This window comes from Homo sapiens, chromosome 7, assembly GCF_000001405.40.
Source record: "Homo sapiens chromosome 7, GRCh38.p14 Primary Assembly".
Taxonomy (NCBI): domain Eukaryota; kingdom Metazoa; phylum Chordata; class Mammalia; order Primates; family Hominidae; genus Homo; species Homo sapiens.
In genome coordinates, this window is record NC_000007.14 from 72,664,206 (window position 1) to 72,683,536 (window position 19,331).

Below are 19,331 nucleotides of genomic sequence, written 5' to 3' on the forward strand. Positions count from 1 at the left end.
TGGTAACAGGCATCAATAATCTCCGATTTGTCAAATATTTGGGTTTCTTTTTTTTTTCCAAATTAATTTATTTTTTCTTTTACCTTGATTCTTTCCTTCTTCCTAATTTCCATAGGCTTATTTTGCTGTTTCTTAGATTTAATGCTTAGCTTACTGAGGTAACTAGTAGATAACTAGTTGCCCACCAATCCCTATTCTCCCCTTTGTCCTTATAAGCAAAGTACCTTGCAGACATAAAAAAGAACAAGATCATGTCCTCTGCAGGGCCATTATCCTTAGCAAACTAACACAGGAATGGAAAACCAAATACCACATGCTCTCACTTATAAGTGGGAGCTAAATGATGAGAACACATGGACACATAGAGAGGAACAACACACACTGGGGCCTATCACAGAGTGGAGAATGGGAGGAAGGAGAGGATCAGGAAAAAAACAAATGGGTAGCAGGCTTAATACCTGGATGATGAGATAATCTGTACAACGAATTCCCACGACACAAGTTTATCTATGTAACCAATGTGCATATATACCTTTGAACTTAAGAGTTTAAAAAAAAAATACAGAGCATGCTTGAGCTACTTGGTCACAGCAATATATGATCTATGGGGGATTGGTTCCAGGAACCTCATGGACGGCAAAATCCATGGATGCTCCAGTTTCTTATATAAAATGATGTCATATTTGCATTTAATCTATGCACATTCTCCAATATACTTTAAATAATCTCTAGATTACTTACAATAGCTAATACAATGTAAACGCTAGGTAGTCTTTACACTGTATTTTTTTATTGTTGTATTGTTATTTTTTTCTGAATATTTTCAATGTGTGGTTGGTTGAATCTGCAAGGACACAGCCTGTGGATACAGAGGGCCGACTCTGCTCTGCTAAAAGAACCTATTTCCCAGTCTCCCTCTAGCAAGGGGTGGCTAAGACACCTAGTTCTGTCTAACAAGATGTAAATGGAAGAGTTATGCAAATAATTTTAAAAGAAAGAAGATGTGCCCTTCTTGTACACATCTTTGTACTGTCTACTCAAAATGAAGGCTGGAATGCCAACATGATGGCTGGAGCTCTAGCAACCATTATGAACCATGAAGTAAACTGCAGAATGAAAGTCGTCTGTTCAATGTCAAAGAAGACAGGAATCTGAGTCTCTGATGACACTGAGAAGCCACTGTATCAACCTCTGGTTCACCTACAATCAGGCTTCTGTGACATTAGGAGAAAAGATATTTCTAATTTGATTAACCCACCATCTGGGGATGTTATATGCAGCTGATCTGAATCCCAAGTGATATAATTCATGTTTGGTCCAATTCTGAATATTGTTATATAATATTCTTATTTTCACTATCTTACAAGTACCTGTAATTGTAGTTTTGAATTCCCTTTCACTTAATGAAAATTAAAAGTGATTCTTCTGAATTACCAAGTGGTTGCGCTTTGTTTACACTTTTGTTGGTCTTGCTCCATTGTGTTCAGTGGCAGTAGCCTATGTTATATTTTTGTTTATTTTTTGTCTCTCCTATCAGAAAACAGGGGCCTTATCTGCCTATTTGCTTGTCCTCAGAAGCTAGAAGAATCTTTACCAGATATTAAGCACTCAATAAATATTTGTTGAGTGAATGAATACAGTTTGGACAGTTCAGATCTTTTTAACATTTGTTTATGGTCTAGTATATTAAATGTTATGCAAACATAAGAAGGCATCATAAAAATAAAAATACAAGGGAAAATGGGTAAGTACTGGAGGAAGGCAATCTATCACTATGAAGAAATAGAGCAAGATTCTATCACAGGATGGAAAACTACTTATGTTACAAAGGAGATAAAGTTATGCACATAGTATGATTATAACTATGAACCCCAAACTTAAACTTACATCTAAATAAGTACCATAAAAATAATAAAAAAGAACAAAGGCCAGGCATGGTGGCTCACGCCTATAATCCCAGTACTTTGGGAGGTCCAGGTGGGCAGATTGCTTGAGCCCAGGAGTTCAAGACCAGCCTGGGCAACATGGCAAAACTCTGTCTCTAAAAAAAATAAATAAATAAAATAAAAATTTAGCTGAGCATGGTGGCACGCACCTGTAGTCCCAACTATTTGGGAGGCTGAGGTGGGAAGATTGCTTAAGCCCAGGAGGCGGAGGCTGCAGTGAGCTGTGATTGTGCAACTATGCTCCAGCCTGGGCAACAGAGCAAAACCCTGTCTCAAAAAAAACCCAAAGAAACAAAACATAAAAATGATAAGCTAAATACTATAAATTTGAAAAATGCTACTTGAAATACAGTGGGCAGCAGGAAGGCATTCAGAAAAAAATGACCATAGGAAATATATACCCAATACATTTAAAGAACCACCATATCACTGGCTGATCTAAGATGATGAAACAATAGTAACACAGGAATCTCCTAGTTGAGAGCACCAACCTGTTCCTGAAAATGCTAAATGAAGCATATTTCACACTATTTTAATTGGGAAAAATTAAAATGTGTTACACATCAACTCAAAATCTCCAGTTTTTAAAAATGAAACCAGTCGGGCGCGGTGGCTCACACCTGTAACCCCAGCACTTTGGGAGACCGAGGCGGGTGGATCACGAGGTCAGGAGATCAAGACCATCCTGGCTAACACAGTGAAACCCCATCTCTACTAAAAATACAAAAAAATTAGCCAGGCGTGGTGGCAGGCGCCTGTAGTCCCAGCTACTCAGGAGGCTGAGGCAGGAGAATGGCATGAACCTGGGAGGCGGAGCTTGCAGTGAGCCGAGATCGCGCCACTGCACTCCAGACTGGGAGAGAGAGCGAGACTCCGTCTCAAAAAAAAAAAAAAAAAAAAGAAACTAAAACAGGGTAAAATGCCCATATGTACAATAACCATTGTATTGGTCTGTAAAATATGTAGAAGACTGCTAACAACTGAAAACAAAAAAACAAGATTCACATCAACTGCTCAGGATGGGAAAGTGGCCTCTCTCAGTGCCAGCACCAGCAAGAAGCAAATTAGTAGGCCTTTCAAATCACCCACATCTGACTCTCATCATTGACTGATTATATTTGGAGCTGGCATTCTGGATTTTTCCTGCACATGTTTTTGTTTAAAATGCTGTATTAGTTTTTGGAAATAAATATAAATGTTGCCTTTGTAAGTATCAATTTAAAACGTTGTATTGAAAGACTGCTGTGCTGTAGGAAGTTTGGATATTAAAAACAAAGAGGAGGCCAGGCGCGGTGGCTCACGCCTGCAATCTCAGCACTTTGGGAGGCCAACCCGGGCAGATAGCTTCAGCTCAGAGTTCTAGAAGAGGCTGGGCAACACGGCAAAACCCTGTCTCTATAAAAAATACAAAAATTAGCCAGGTGTGGTGACACAGGCCTGTAGTCCCAGCTACTCGGAAGGCTGAGACAGGAGGATCGCTTGAGCCGGGAGGTGGAGGCTGCAGTGAGCTGAGATCATGCCACTGCACTCCAGCCTGGGTGGCAGAGCAAGACTCCAGCTCAAAAAAACAAAACAAAACAAAGAGATGTTGTAGTGGAAAACCAGCAACACAAAGAGGTGACCTGTAGGGTATGCCTGTATTTGGAAGAGATGTCTGTTCCTATACTCTTCAGGCAATCTGATGATATATGAATCAAAAGTCAAAGGGTAGAGAAAATTCTATTCCCTTGTGGCTAGCCAGATCTTTAAAACCATTTTTCTTATTTTTTAGGTAGTTGTGTGTCACTACTATTCAAGCCATAATTTACTCAAGGTTGACCTTAACACAGCTAGTGTCACATAAAAGATACTTTCTCAAATGAAAAAAGTCTTTAAGTCACCCTCCCATGACACACACTACCCATGTATTTGGTCATCTAGGCCTCGGAGTCCTAGAAATGTCTACTGAATTAATGATCCACTGCTACATTAATGACCTACATAAAATTTCATTAAACTTTTAAAGATAAAATACAAATTGTTTTTCTGTAATGTTATCATAGATTTTGTTTGTTTTCAGTGGAAACTGGAAAACAGGAGAAAATGTCATCCATGACTCAATACTTATACACTATTATAGATGTTTTTGTTCAACCGTTTTTAAGTCAAAAAAGTAGCTAATTAGCATATATATCAAAAAATGCTTTCTCAGCTTCTGTCAAATGATTACTTGAATGTTTTTAGAATCACAGAATTATTTAAACAGCCTTTTAAAAGCTCTCTCAGTGTGCTAGGCACTATCAGCTTGTGGACAGCTAGATCGTTAAGACCATTTCCCATTTTTGGAGTAGTGTAGATTTGTTTTTTAACATGAAGGCCGAGAAAACTCCTTCTCAACACCCCAGCTTATCCACTGTCATTCCACTCCCCATCCGACCCCATGCTCTTGGACTCTGGTGGAACTGAACTGCTCCACAAGCCACACGTGCTTTCCCAAATCGCCAAACTCTGCCTGCTTCCACAAACAGGAAGGCTCTTTAGTAATCAGTGGTGGCTCTTAAGGAACACAGAGCAGCTGGAGGTCAGAGTGGAGGGAAAGCTTACTTCTAACTCCCTATCAGTCTGTGACATTTTAAGTTTATGCCAGATGAATAAAGTATGCATTAAATAACGCTAGGTTTTAAGTCTCAGTTCCGCTATCACTTCTTGCAGAATGCCTTTTCTGATGTCAATGTCAGCATCTCTCCTCATGCTCCTTGTAGCCTAGCACTTGTCACCAAGTCCTGAAACTATCTGTCTCCCACACAAACAATTCCTCTAAGGCAAAGACCACATCCCAGTTGTAACTATATCCCCCTGCCTAGCACAGAACTTGAAATATACTACACACAAAGCAAGAGTTGGTGGAAATTATTATAGTATAAACAAAGTCTCCAAAATATTGACAGTCATTTATACACAAAAATTATTCTAAGAGGCAAACAACCACTATTTAATTTTAAACTTTTTTTTTTTTTTTTTTTTTTTTTTGAGATGGAGTTTTGCTCCTGTTGTTCCAGGCTGGAATGCAATGGCGCTATCTCGGCTCATTCCAACTTCCGCCTCCTGGGTTCAAGAGATTCTCCTGCCTCAGCCTCCCAAGTAGCTCAGATCACAGGCGCCTGCCACCACGCCCGGCTAATTTTTTGTGTTTTTAGTAGAGATGGGGTTTCACCATGTTGGCCAGGCTGCTCTTGAATTCCTGACCTCAGGTGATCCACCCACCTCAGCCTCCCAAAAATGTTGGGATTACAGGCATAAGCCACTGCACCTGGCCTAATTCTGAACTAATTTTATTAATAATAGCACTGGCTGGCCAGGCGCAGTGGCTCATGCCTATAATCCCAGCACTTTGGGAGGCCTAGGTGGGCAGATCATTTGAGGCCAGTTGTTCAAGACTAGCCTGGCCAACATGGCGAAACCCTGCCTCTTAAAAAAAAAAATCAGCCAGGCATGGTGGCATGGTGGCTTGTGCCTGTAGTCCCAGCTACTTGGGAAGCTGAGGCAGGAGAATTTCTTGAACCCGGGAGGCAGAGACTTCAGTGAGCTGAGATCACGCCACTGCACTCCAGACTGGGTGATAAAGCGAGGCTCTGTCTCGGAAAAAAAATAATAATAAATAAATAACAATAATAACAGCACTGGCTGGATGTGGTGATTCACATCTATAATCCCAGTGCCTTGGGAGGCCAAGGTAGGAAAACCACTTGAGGCCAGGAGCTGAAGACCAGCCTATGCAACACAGTGAGACCCCATTTCTACAAAATAAATAAATAAATAAATAAATAAATAAATAAATAAATAAATAAAGATTAGCTGGCTGTGGTGGCACATGCCTGTAGTCTCAGCTGCTCCGGCAGCTGAGGTGGGAGGATTGTTTGAGCCCAGGGGTTCAAGGCTGCTGCGAACCATGATTGTGCCACTGCACTCCAGCCTGGGTGACAGAATGAATCCCTGTCTCTAAATAGTAATAGCACTGACATTATTGAGCCCAGGTGCCAAGCAATGTATTCAGAGTTTTCATGTGTTATCTTTTTTTGAGACTGAGTTCCACTCTTGTTGCCCAGGCTGGAATGCAATGGCATGATCTTGGCTCACTGCAACCTCCGCCTCCAAGGTTCAAGCGATTCTCCTGCCTCAGCCTCCCGAGTAGCTGGGATTACAGGCGCCTACCACCACGCCCAACTAATTCTGTATTTTTAGTAGAGAGGGGGTTTCCCCATGTTGGTCAGGCTGGTCTCTAACTCTTGAACTCAAGTGATCCACCCGCCTTGGCCTCCCAAAGTGCCAGGATTACAGGTGTGAGCCACCACGTCTGGCCTCATGTGTTATCATTTAATTCCAATTAGGAAGTACTCTTAACCCCACTTTACAGTGAGGAAGTAAAGACTTCACAGAGGTTCGGTGGTTTGGCCAAGGTTGCATAGCTATTATAGCATGGTGCCCTGGGAGTCAAACACTCGCATTCTGCTCGCTTTCTGAGGAGTAGAAAGACCCCCATGGGCTTCCAGTGAAATATTTTGGCTAGACAAACACGAACTCTAAAAATGTCTGAACACTTCCAAAAGGCGGGGGAATAAATGGAGTATGAAAGGAAACACTCAGTGCTTTTCAGTAGCCACTGTACCAAATGGTGCTCAAACAACATATTCAAGTTGAGCCATTACTAGTCTAAGACTTGGAAAATTATTTTGCGTGTTGGTTAGAATATTTAGGGAAAATAAATATACACGATGTATTTTTATTTTTATGATGGCCTCTTAGGTTTGCATAAAGCTTAATATTCCAGTCTGTAAATAAATGTTAAAAAGAACTAAACTGCACAAACTGTATTGATTCACTCAGCAAATATTTATTGAACGTTTAATATCTGGTAAAAGTTCTTCTAGTTTCTGGGGACCAGTGACTAAGGCCAACAAGGGCCCTGTTCTCTGGTCAGAGAGACATAAAATAAATGAATAAACACTTATAGGCTATTTTTCCCCAGAAAAATAACCTACAAAATAGAAAATACTAGCTTTCTAGGTTATTATTCCTTAGAAAAATGATCTTCTTAGGGGTGGCTTCTGACAGTTGTCCTTTTTAAAAATAAGTAACACTCAGAAAAGGTACAAGGAAGAATACAGCCAAAGGTCTCCCTCCACCCCCAGACACTTGGGTCAAAACCAATTCAATGTGTGGTTGAACCATAACTTATTTTAACTGGCTCCTGACTGATGGATAGTTTGCTTCTAATCTTCTGCTATTAAAAATAATGTCACAATGAATAATCTTGTATATATTTTTCTTCACATGAATGTATGTCTCAGGGTAAATTACTAGATATGAACTGTTGACTCAAAGTGCACATTTTTATTTTAACAGCTACCATAAAAGTGACCTTCAAAGATGAAGCTGAAGCAATTTATAGTCTCACCAGGTGTATGAGAGTACTTACTTCTTCACTAATATTTTTATCTATATTTAAGGGCTGTGTGGATTTCATTAAAGGATTTCTTTTCCTTATTTTTCTATTTTCTTATTTTCTATTGGCTTATAGGTCTTTATTTAATGATTGGCAGTAGTATTTTCAGTATGTTTAGGACATTTTAGTACCAACTTTAAACTTTTTTTAAAAGTGTACCAACTTTATTCACTTTATTAACTTTAATTTCTTTTAAAATTGTATTTAAAAAGTCTTTTTTTTTTTTTTCAGAACTATTCAATCTCAAAACACACCATTATGTAAGTGAGAAAAATTCAAGGAAAGAATAGGAGGCTGGATAAATATTTTATAAAGTCTAAAGGCAAAGAACAAGGTGATATGGTTTGGCTGGGTCCCCACCCAAATCTCATCTTGAATTCCCACGTTGTGGGGGGACCTGGTAGGAGGTAACTGAATCATGGGGCAAGTGTTTCCCATGCTGTTCTCGTGATAGTGAATAAGTCTCATGAGAGCTGATGGTTTGAAAAAGTGGGGTTCCCCTGCACAAGTTCTCTCATTTTTTTGCCTGCCACCATCCACGTAATAAGACGTGACTTGCTCCTCCTTGCCTTCCATCATGATTGGGAGGCTTCTCCAGCCATGTGGAACTGTAAGTCCCATTAAACCTCTTTGTTTTGTGAATTGCTCAGTCTCGGGTGTGTCTTTATCAGCAGCATGAAAATGGACTAATACCCAAGGGATTCTGTTCCTCTTACATTAACAGAGCATGAAGCAAAATGATGATTCACAAAAAAAGATAATTTTAAGAGGGAAATCTTTTTTAAATATGGTGATCATTACAGTTTGAGGACCTGAATTTATTTGGGCATACACACACAAACACACACACACACACACACACACACACACACACACCTGTATACACAGGTATGTAATATGCAGTTAGCCTTCTATATTTCTGGGTTCCTTCAGCATCTGCAGATTCAACCAACTGCAAATAGAAAGGGCAGTACTCGAGGGATGTAGGAACCTCGAATAGAGAAGGCCAACTTTTCATATCTGTGGGTTCTGCAGGGTGAACTGCAGGACAGTAACTGTAGATTTTGGTATCCATGGGGGTCCTGGAACCAATCCTCTGCAGATACTGAGAGACAACAGTATATATGTACATATATACACATATGTGTGCATGCATATGTATGTGTGCATACACATGTGTGTACATTTTGTTTCAAAGATTACAAATACTTGCTCTATTTTAGAAACTCAAGATTTCAAAAGATCCATAAATAGGCCGGGCATGGTGGCTCATGCCTGTAATCCCAGCACTTTGGGAGGCCAAGGCGGGTGGATCACTTGAGGTCAGGAGTTGGAGACCAGCCTGGTCAACATAGTGAAACCCCATCTCTACTAAAAATACAAAAATTAGCCGGGTGTCGCGGCGTGCACCTGTAGTCCCAGTTACTTGGAGGCTGAGGCAGGAGAATTGCTTGAACCCAGGAGGTGGAGGCTGCAGTGAGCCGAGATCGGCCACTGCACTCCAGCCTGGGCGACAGAGCAAGACTCCGTCTCAATAAAATAAAAAGATCCACAAATAACTACAGGTTTTGAAGTAAGGCATTAGAGAAGTTTATATACTACATATATTTGTATCAAAACTCTTTTCAGATCAGTATATCGAACACGGAAGAGACATCTGCACTCCCATGTTTATTGCAACACTAGTCACAATGGCCAAGATTTGGAAGCAACCTAAGTATCCAATGGCAGATGAATGGATAAAGAAAATGTGGTATTTATATACAATGGAGTACTATTCACCCATAAAAAAAGAATGAGGTCCTGTCATCTGCAACATGGATGGAACTGCAGGTCATTATGCTAAGTGATATTAGCCAGGCACAGAAAGGCAAACATCACGTGTTCTCACTTAATTGTGGGATCGAAAAATCAAAACAATTCAACTCATGGAGACAGACAGTAGAAGGATGGTTACCAGAGGCTGGGAAGGGTAGTGGGGGTGTTGGGAGGAAGGTGGGATGGTTAATGGGTACAAAAAATAGAAAAAATGAATAAGACCTAGTCTTTGATAGCACAACAGGTTGACTATATAGTCAAACTTAATTTAATTGTACATTTAAAAGTGACTAAAGGAGTATAATCGGATTGTTTGTAACACAAAGGATAAATGCTGGAGAGGATAGATACCACATTTTCTATCACGTAATTATTACATATTATATGCCTGTATCAAAGTATCTCAGGTACCTTATAAATATATACACCTACTATGTACCCACAAAACTTAAATTTAAAAACAAAACTCTTTTTAGAACCCTCCTCCTTCATAGAGTTATTATTTTTTTAAAAAGGTAATTTCTGGTCTAGAGAATAAACACCTGAAGCAGAGAAACCAGGAGGACTACCAGTTCAATACCCACCATTCCCTGTGGGCATCATACAGATGGCTTGCTAGGACACTGCCTAGGCTTCATAGGGGATGGTACAACCCCACTCCTCTCCGTGAAGTGTGGAGTGTCAGCAAAGCAAGCCCTTAGCCACAAGGAGGTAGCTGGCCAGCCCATTCTCAGAAAGTCACTTTAAGCATTAACAAGAGCACAAGGCCTAGTCCAGATTGGCAGCAACCTCCCAGGTTTCTTAGTCCAAAAGTCTTTTTCGGTACCCTAGGATCAAGAGGAAGAAGTGCATGGTGTGACATTGTGGGCCTCTCTCTGCTGCTAAGATGAGGTTGTTTTCGGCAGTGGCTGTGATGTCTCCTTAGAGAAACACTTACTAAGCACCACAGAGATGAGAAAACCAGGCCCTTCAGACAGGATGTCTGATGCAGGGTGTCTTCATGGATTCCTCCTATAGGTTTCATTCCAACTCAAAGATTTTTTTTTTAATTAGGTCTTAATCCACACCTCCATACACACCAATCTTTCCATATAGAGAAGCTGTAATGCTCAGCCACGCAGACCAAGTCACCCAACCACGCCTCCCAGAGCCTTGTTTAAACTGGCCACATAGTGTTGAATCATTCCACTCCAACTAAGGTTGATTCCTGTGCTTAAAAGCATTTTACCCCACGGAATTGTTTCCTGTTAGGTAGGCTATCAAATATAATCTTTTAAAAAGCACAGTTTCAAATTTTCCTTTTCTCTCTTTTTTTTTTTTTTTTTTAAAGAGATGGGGTCTTGCCATGTTGCCCAGGCTAGTCTCAAACTCCTGGGCTCAAGAGTTCCTTCCACCTCGGCCTCCCAAAGTGCTGAGATTACAGGTGTGAGCCACCATGGCTGGCTTAAAATTTTCTATACTTGTCCTTAGAAACGGATTTCTAGCCTTAGAATAAAAAGAGTACCAAAAAATAAGGGATGACTTGCAAATAAGTGGGAATTCCAAGGACCTGCTTAGAATAACTTTTAGTTCTAGCATCTTTCTTTCTAGAAAGTGCTGGAGGAAGGAGTTTGCTTGAAACAACCGATTCCCAATGAAAAACCTGTAGGAAAATGACAAAACAAAGGCCAGGTGCGGTGGCTCACACCTGTAATCCCAGAACTTTGGGAGGCCGGGGTGGGTGGATCACCTGAGATCAGGAGTTTGAGACCAGCCTGGCCAACATGGTGAAACCCCGTCTCTACTAAAAACACAAAAATTAGCCGGGTGTGGTGGCAGGCACCTGTAATCCCAGCTACTCAGGAGGCTGAGGCAGGAGAATTGCTTGAACCCAGGAGGTGGAGGTTGCAGTGAGCCGAGACTGTGCCACTGTACTCCAGTCTGGGCAACAGAGTGAAATTCTGTCTCAAAAAAATTAAAAAAAGAAAACAGGAAAACTTGCAATTTTTTCCAATCACTAAGTCAACTGGAAAAGGACAACTACACATTATTAGTTTTGACAGTCAATAGTTTTAGTATTTTTATGTTGCCCTAATACAGTGATGTCAGTATATATATATATATATACACACATATATATATACACACACACATATATATATATACACACACACACATGCACTGTATATACACACACACATACTAATATATGGTATGTGGATCTACGCTTCATCAAATTACAAACACTACTCCACAGTCATCATAGTTCATCAGCTAACACTTTAAATGTCACATTATTAATTACAATGATTAAATACAAAACAATTTTCTTCTCATGTGAAAAAAAGCCAATTTATAATAGATTATTCAGATCAGATGAAATCTTCCTCTAGTACTAATAATACCTTGGCAACAGATCATTACAGAATAATGTAATAGTTTCATAACTATTACATAATATTTCATAACTGTAATAGTTTCATACGCTAACCCATGAAAATCTTAACATCACACTACATAACATGGAAACATACTATGCTGTTCTGGTTCAAAGAATAAATAAGAGAAGGAAAAATGATAACTTTAGGTAGCAGGACTAACTTCTGTGTTCTGGAAACGGTTATGGTTAACAAACTGAAGCTCTTTGGGGCTAAACAGGGGTTCAAATACCAGTTTGATTTTAGTGGCTGGTATTCAGGTTCCCAGAAACGATCACCTCCACTTTGGGCTATGTCAAATAAACAAGTGCTAAAAGATAATAAAAATATACCATGAAGCCAAACAGCTCTGTGACCTTCAATTTCCTCGTCTGTAAAACAAGGTGAACAATATCTACGACTCATATAAAAGGTATGAAGATAAGATGATACGTACTCAGGATTAGCAGTACCAGAATTTAGTAAGAGGTTGTTTAACAGATGTTAGCTATTAGAGCTATGATTATTAAATAAAAGAACTTATGATAAGAATGTTCTCTGCAGGACCCAATGTCTGCTGTACACTATATTTAGTTCAATAATGAAACACAGCAGAGTCTCAACAGCAAACCCTGAGTGGTACAGTGACTGGCTTCCCAGGGCAGACACCAGGAACTGGTGGGGCTGCCATACCTGGGCAGGGTGGATTTGCTGGCCAGGTGCTGGAAGAGCAGCAGCCCTGGGAGTGAGCACATGCTTTATTTACAGAGAAACCCAGTTAGTTGGATGCTTCAGCATAAACCATAAAGGCTTTAAAAAAAAAAACTTTTGGCTGGACGTGGTGGCTCATGCCTATAATCTCAGCACTTTGGGAGGCCGAGGCGGTGGATTGCTTGAGGCCAGGAGTTCAAGACCAGCCTGGCCAATATGGGGAAACCCCATCTCTACTAAAATACAAAAAAATAGCCAGTGTGGTGGCATGTGCCTGTAATCTCAGATACTTGGGAAGCTGAGGTGGGAGGATCGCTTGAACCCAGGAGGCGGAGGTTGCAGTGTGCTAAGATCACGCCACTGTACTCCAGCCTGGGTGACAGAGCGAGAGACTGTCTCAAAAAAAAAACCAAACAAACCAAAAAACTGTTTTAACATCATATTCAAAAAGAAACTTGGTTGGGGTGATGACAATGTTCTCGAGTTAGGTAGTGATGATTTCACAAGCTTGTGAATATACTAAAAATCATACTTTAGAAGGGTGAACTTCTTCTTTCTCTCTCTCTGTATGTATGTATGCATGTATTCATTGATTCATTCATTCATTCGAGACAGGGTGTCACTCTGTCACCTAGGCTGGAGGGCAGTGACACAATCATAGCTCACTGCAGCCTCGGCCTCTTGAGCTCAACTGATCCTCCACCTCAGCCTCCTGAGTAGGTGGGACTACAAGAATGCCTTAGCACACCTGGTTGATTTTTTTTTTTTTGGTAGAGAAAGGGTCTTGCTATGTTGCTCAGGCTGGTCTCAAACTCCTGGGCTGAAGCAATCCTCCCACCTTGGCCTCCCAAAGTACTGGGATTACAGGCGTGAGCCACCACATCCTGAACTTTATGATATGTAAATTATACCTCAATTATAAAAAAACACATGGGCATGGAACATTTGTCTCCTGATTTCCAGGATTCTGAGTTTTTATACAGTTGAGGGAGGTTGGGAGCCCTTGGCGGAATGAAAAATGGCTACCTGTATCTTTGACAGCTTCCGCTTCCTGGCCTAGCAGAAACTTTTTCTGCTTTTCCCTGGGTTCTCCGACATGCACCCTGCTAAGGTTCACAGAGTTGTGTGGATATATGGTATCCTTTTATTTATCTTTTTTTTTGAGATGAAGTCTTGCTCTATCACCAGGCTGGAGTGCAGTAGCGTGATCTTGGCTCACTGCAACCTCCATCTCCCGGGTTCAAGTGATTCTCCTGCCTCAGCCTCCTGAGTAGCTGGAATTACAGGTGCCTGCCACCATGCCCGGCTAATTTTTGTATTTTTAGTACTGACAGGGTTTCACCATGTTGTCCAGGCTGGTCTTGAACTCCTGACCTCGAGTGATCCACCCACCTCAGTCTCCAAAAGCGCTGAGATTACAGGCGTGAGCCACCGCACCCAGCACCTTTTATTTATCTATTAGCACTTGTTTACTCCACCTAGCCCAAGGTGAAGGTAATCATTTCTGGGAACCTGAATACTAGGATGCATGAATTATTATATTAATTCTATTTTTATTAAATGCATACTACAGGCAAAGCACTATCCGGGGCACTGAGGATACTGCAGGGAATAAGAAAATGTCTCTGCTTTCACAGTTGAAAGGAAATAAAAACCAATAACATGCAAGTCTGGTGCTGATGCTGCTATGGAAAAAAACAATCAAAGAGGGATGGGCAGTGCTGCTGAGGAGGGATATTATTTTCCACAGGATGAGGAGGGGCTAACTCTCTGATAAGGTGATATTTGAGTGGAGTCCTGAAGGAAATGAGAAAACAAACCATATCAACATAGAGAAGCCCATTACAGGCAGAAAGAATGAATTCTAAGAGTCTAGACAAAGGCAAACAGCCAATGGAGAAATGGGCAAGGTATGGAAAGGCTATTAAAGACATGGCCAAACACAACAAAATGCTCACCCACTCCTGGGAGGATTATAAAATAAAACCTCAAATCAGACTGGCAAAACCTAAAACCCTGACAATGGCCAGGCATGGTGGCTCACACCTGTAATTCCAGCACTTTTTTTTTTTTTTTTTTTTTTTGAGATGGAAACTCGCTCAGCCGCCAAGTAGCTGGGACAACAGGCGCGCATCATCACGCCCAGCTAATTTTTGTATTTTTAGTAGAGACGGGGTTTCACCATGTTGGTCAGGATGGTCTCGATCTCTTGACTTCATGATCCGCCTGCCTCAGCCTCCCAAAGTGCTGGGGATTACAGGTATAAGCCAACGTGCCCGGACAATCCCAGCACTCTTGAAAGCCAAGGTAGGAGGATCACTTGAGGCCAGGAGTTTAAGACAAGCTGGGCAACATAGTGAGACTCCATCTGTACAAGTTAAAGAATCAAAAAAATTAGCCAGGCATGGTGGTGCATGGCTGTAGTCTGAGCTTCTTGGGGGACTGAGGTGGGAAGATTACTTGAGCCCAGGAGGTTGAGACTGCAGTGAGCCGTGATGGCACCACTGCATCCAGTCTGCCAATAGAGCAAGATCCTGTCTCAAAAAACAAATAAAATAGAATCAACAACTAACAAGACCAAGTATTCGTGAGGATAGAAAATAGAAATTTAATGCAGTAGTCTCATAAGTATAATCATGTAGGACAGGCTACGGCGACAAAAATCTAATCAAGTTCAAGTTTAAGATGTACATATCCTATGATCCAGCAACTTCCAACCACAGGTTAGTTCCGAAAGAAATTATTGCACATGTGCACAAAGAGACACTCTCAATAATGTTCACTGCAGAGTTAGAAACTGTGAAACAATCCAAATGCCCATCTGTAGGAGGATGAATTTCTCCTACATCAGGGAATATTTACAGGATAGAAGGCTACATAGCAGTTACAAAGTCTCAAAGGCTAAATATAACAATGTGAATACGTCACGAGCATAATATCAAACAAAAGAAAAACAGGTTGCAGGGAGGAAGAAATGAGGGAGGCTACTATTTAATGGGTATGAAGTTTCATAGTTTGGGGGAAACAATGGGGAGATGAAACAGCTCTGGAGATGGATGGTGGTAATAGTTGCATATAATATGAATGTACATGATACCACTGAACTGAATACTTTAACATGGTAAAAACGTAATTTTTTATTTTTAAAAAAATGGTCAAAAATTAAATCAAGTTGCATAAGGATACATATAGGGTTACATTATTATATAAAGTTTTAAAATATGGAAAACACTATGCTCTGTTACTTACGGAGTTATACATAAGAGTGAAGTATAAATATGGAATGATAGGCCAGGAGCAGTAGATCACCTCTGTAATCCCAGCACTTTGGGAGGCCAAAGCGAGAGGATCACTTGACGCCAGGAGTTCGAGACCAACCTGAGCAACACAGTGAGACCGTATCTCTACAAAATGCAAAAATTAGCCGGGCGCAGTGGCGGACACCTATTGTCTCTAGCTACTTGGGAGGCTGAAGTGGGAGGACTGCTTGAGTCCAGGAGTTCAAGGCTGTGGTGAGCCATGATCATACTGTGGCACTCCAGCCTGGGCAACAGAGCAAGACCCTGTGTGATGGTTAACACTGAGTGTCAACTTGATTGTATTAAAGGATGCAAAGTATTGCTCCTGGGTGTGTCTGTGAGGGTGTTGCCAAAGGAGATTAACATTTGAGTCAGTGGACTGGGAAAGGCAGATCCACCCCTCAATCTGGGTGGGCACCATCTAATCTACCCCTCAGTCTGGGTGGGCACCATCTAATCAGCTGCCAGTGCAGCCGGAATAAAAGCAGGCAGAAGAACATGGAAAAACTAGACTGGCTGAGTCTTCTGGCCTTCATCTTTCTCCCGTGCTGGATGCTTCCTGCCCTCGAACATCAAACTCCAAGATCTTCAGCTTTTGGACTCTTGGACTTACACCAGTGGTTTGCCAGGGGCTCTCAGGCCTTTTGGCCACAGACTGAAGGCTGCAATGTCAGCTTCCCTACTTCTGAGGTTTTGGGACTTGGAACGGCTTCCTGGCACCTCAGCTTGCAGACGACCTATTGTGGGACTTCACCTTGTGATAGTGCGAGTCAATTCTCCAATAAACTCCCCTTCATATGTACATCTACCCTATTAGTTCTGTCCCTCTAGAGAACCCTCATTAATACAATATGGAATGATAAACACCAAACATGAAATACTGAAGACGATATGGAACGATAAACACCAATTACAGGATACTGATTCCCTCTGAAAGAAAGAGAAGGAAAAAGAAGTATGATAGAAATGAGGTCCACAGAGACTGCAAATGAATTTGTAATATTTATTTCTTAAGCTAGACTATAGTTACAGTGGTACTTACTATCTTATTCACTGTATCTTTTCATATGTATAAAATATTTAATCATATACACAAAAATGATAGTAGAGGGCATCATTTTGTAAAATTCAAACAAAATTACCTACTGTAATGTTTCTAGGTGTTTTTGTCTAGACCCTATAAGGTAGGCACTGTTATTTACCCCATTTCACAGGTGAGAAAAGTGAGTCCCTTGCCCAAAATTACACACACAATAGGTGGCAGAGCCAGTATCCAAACCTTGGTAGCCTTGTTTCAGAGACCCAAGCTTTCAATTACTAAACCAAGCAGGTTGTTGGGAAATAACAGAATATACACCAAGAGGAGATCGGATAAATGCAATTTGCTCGTTCACCAAATACTTATGTGGCAATCATGTGTCAGTCACCGTGTTAAGGGCTTTGAATACCACAGTGAACAAAAAGGCATAACACACATCTTGCCTTCCCTAGGGGACCTTACAATTCAGAGCAAGGACGATTAAATAAGCAGTCACACCAACCCCTGCTGTCCTGGGTGGTAAAAGAAAGCACAAGTACCCTTCACCCAGAAGTGCCCAATGCAGACTGTGGGAGGGGAGGGAAGGAGTTAGGGAAGGCTGCCAAAGATAAGACTTGTGAGGCTATTTGTTAAATCCATATTAAAAAAATATTATCCAGACAGTAAGAAGAGTGTTGGAGTGTTATATTTACTTCTTTTTTTTTTTTTTTTTTTTTGAGTTAGAGTCTCGCTCTGTCGCCCAGGCTGGAGTGCAGGGGCACGATCCCCACTCACTGCAAGCTCCACCTCCCAGGTTCACATCATTCTCCTGCCTCAGCCTCCCGAGTAGCTGGGACCCACCACTATGCTCAGCTAATTTTTTGTATTTTTAGTAGAGACGGGGTTTCACCGTGTTAGCCAGGATGGTCTCGACCTCCTGAACTCGTGATCCACCCACCTCAGTCTCCCAAAGTGCCGGGATTCCAGAAGTGAGCCACCGCACCCGGCCGTCTGTTTTTTTAGATGGAGTCTCTCTCTGTCTCCCAAGCTGAAGTGCAGTGACGCAATCTCGGCTCACTGCAACCTCCGCCTCCCGGGTTCAGGTGATTCTCCTGCCTCAGCCTCCCGAGTAGCTGGGATTACAGGTACCCACCACCACACCCACCTGATTTTTGTATTTGTAGTAGAGATGGGGTTTCACTGTGTTGGCCAGGCTGGTCTCAAACTCCTGACCTCAGGTGATCCACCCACCTCAGCCTCCCAAAGTGCTGGAATTAAAGGCATGAGCCACCACACATAGCCTATAATTACTTATATAGAAAGATATGACACTCTGTTAACAAAAAAAAAAAAGTAGAAATCAACACACAGGGCATCTTCTGGGAATGGAACAGCACATATATCAAGTTTCAATACGTAGTAATGATAGCTTATCAAATCTGTACTTTAAAGATGGTTCATCAATAAATGGTACTTGGGAATGACATAAAAATGAATGCTAAGTTATATCCCAACTGGATTAAAGAGTTGAGATTTAAACAACTGGGCTAGGAAAGAACCAGAAAATATACATAAGAATTTTTATATCCTAAGGGTCTAAGCATGACACTAAAAGGAGAATTCACAAAGACAAAAATTACTAGGTCTTAAAGAAAAAAGCTGTGAGCCTTATACTATCAGATTTTACAACTTAAAATTAACCCCTACGAGCCTTCTAGTTTCCAATGCAGCAAGAAAGTTGCTTGGAAGTCATCACTGTGTCTTAACAAGTAAAAAGCTGAACAAATTGAAAAATCAACAACTGTTCTTAGATCCATCAGAGAAGTGAGGTCACAGGGCAAACCTGCTGTCCCCATAATTGGAGGGAAAAACAGGCAGGCACAGAGAATCACAACTTAACAGGAGCAGAAACCTCCACAGAGACCAGCGCCAACACAGGGAAACTGAACTGTAATTGACGAAGTGCTGGAGGCTCAGTGTGGACAAGTCTGACACATAAAAATTCCAGACAGATCCAGTCATTAGGGGCCCTACACTTTTGTGAGTTTTACCTACTGGAGCTCTGCCAGATTCTCACAGTGAATATACAGGGGGAAATCCCTTGTGCTTCTGGTAAGGGGAGGGAAACAGGAACCATTTGACATGTGTCAGAGCATTGTGTTGATAACAAGGTCTGCTCTCAGGAGAACCGATTTAACCAGAACCTAACTTGCTTGGTTTTATCAGAGCCTAACTAACCAAGTGGAAGAGAAATACCCAACTCCAGCCAGCGCCGGCCTTCCATGTAAGAAAAGGGAAATAGCCAACTGCAGCACACTCTAGCCAACCTGTCCCAACGGGGAAGAAAAAACTGAGAAGTATTTGTGAAGTTCACAGTCCAGGGGTACAGCCTCACTAAAAGACTGAGACCTAGACTGGGCGCAGTGGCTCACACCTGTAATCCCAGCACTTTGGGAGGCCAAGGCAAGTGGATCATTTGAGGTTAGGAGTTCAAGACTAGCCTGCCCAACATGGTAAAACCCCGTCTCTAGTAAAAATACAAAAATTAGTGGAGCATGGTGGCAGGTGCCTATAATCCTAGCTACTTGGAAGGCTGAGGCAGGAGAATTGCTTGAACCTGGGAGGCAGAAGTTGCAGTGAGCCGAGATCGTGCCACTGCAC

At 41.5% G+C, this 19,331-nt stretch overlaps 1 protein-coding gene across 4 annotated transcripts in view, besides 1 other annotated feature; it reads right to left on the reverse strand.

Moving 5' to 3' along the window:
* Nucleotides 1-19,331, reverse strand: part of TYW1B (tRNA-yW synthesizing protein 1 homolog B) — a 253,688-nt gene that overhangs the window by 89,693 nt on the left and 144,664 nt on the right. The gene's annotated exons all lie outside the window — the stretch shown is intronic.
* Nucleotides 18,589-18,738: an enhancer, noted in NCBI's record as "active region_26118". NCBI's record gives its function as "activates an Ori minimal core promoter by ATAC-STARR-seq in GM12878 lymphoblastoid cells {active_cell/tissue: GM12878}" and the evidence as "EXISTENCE:reporter gene assay evidence [ECO:0000049][PMID:35858748]".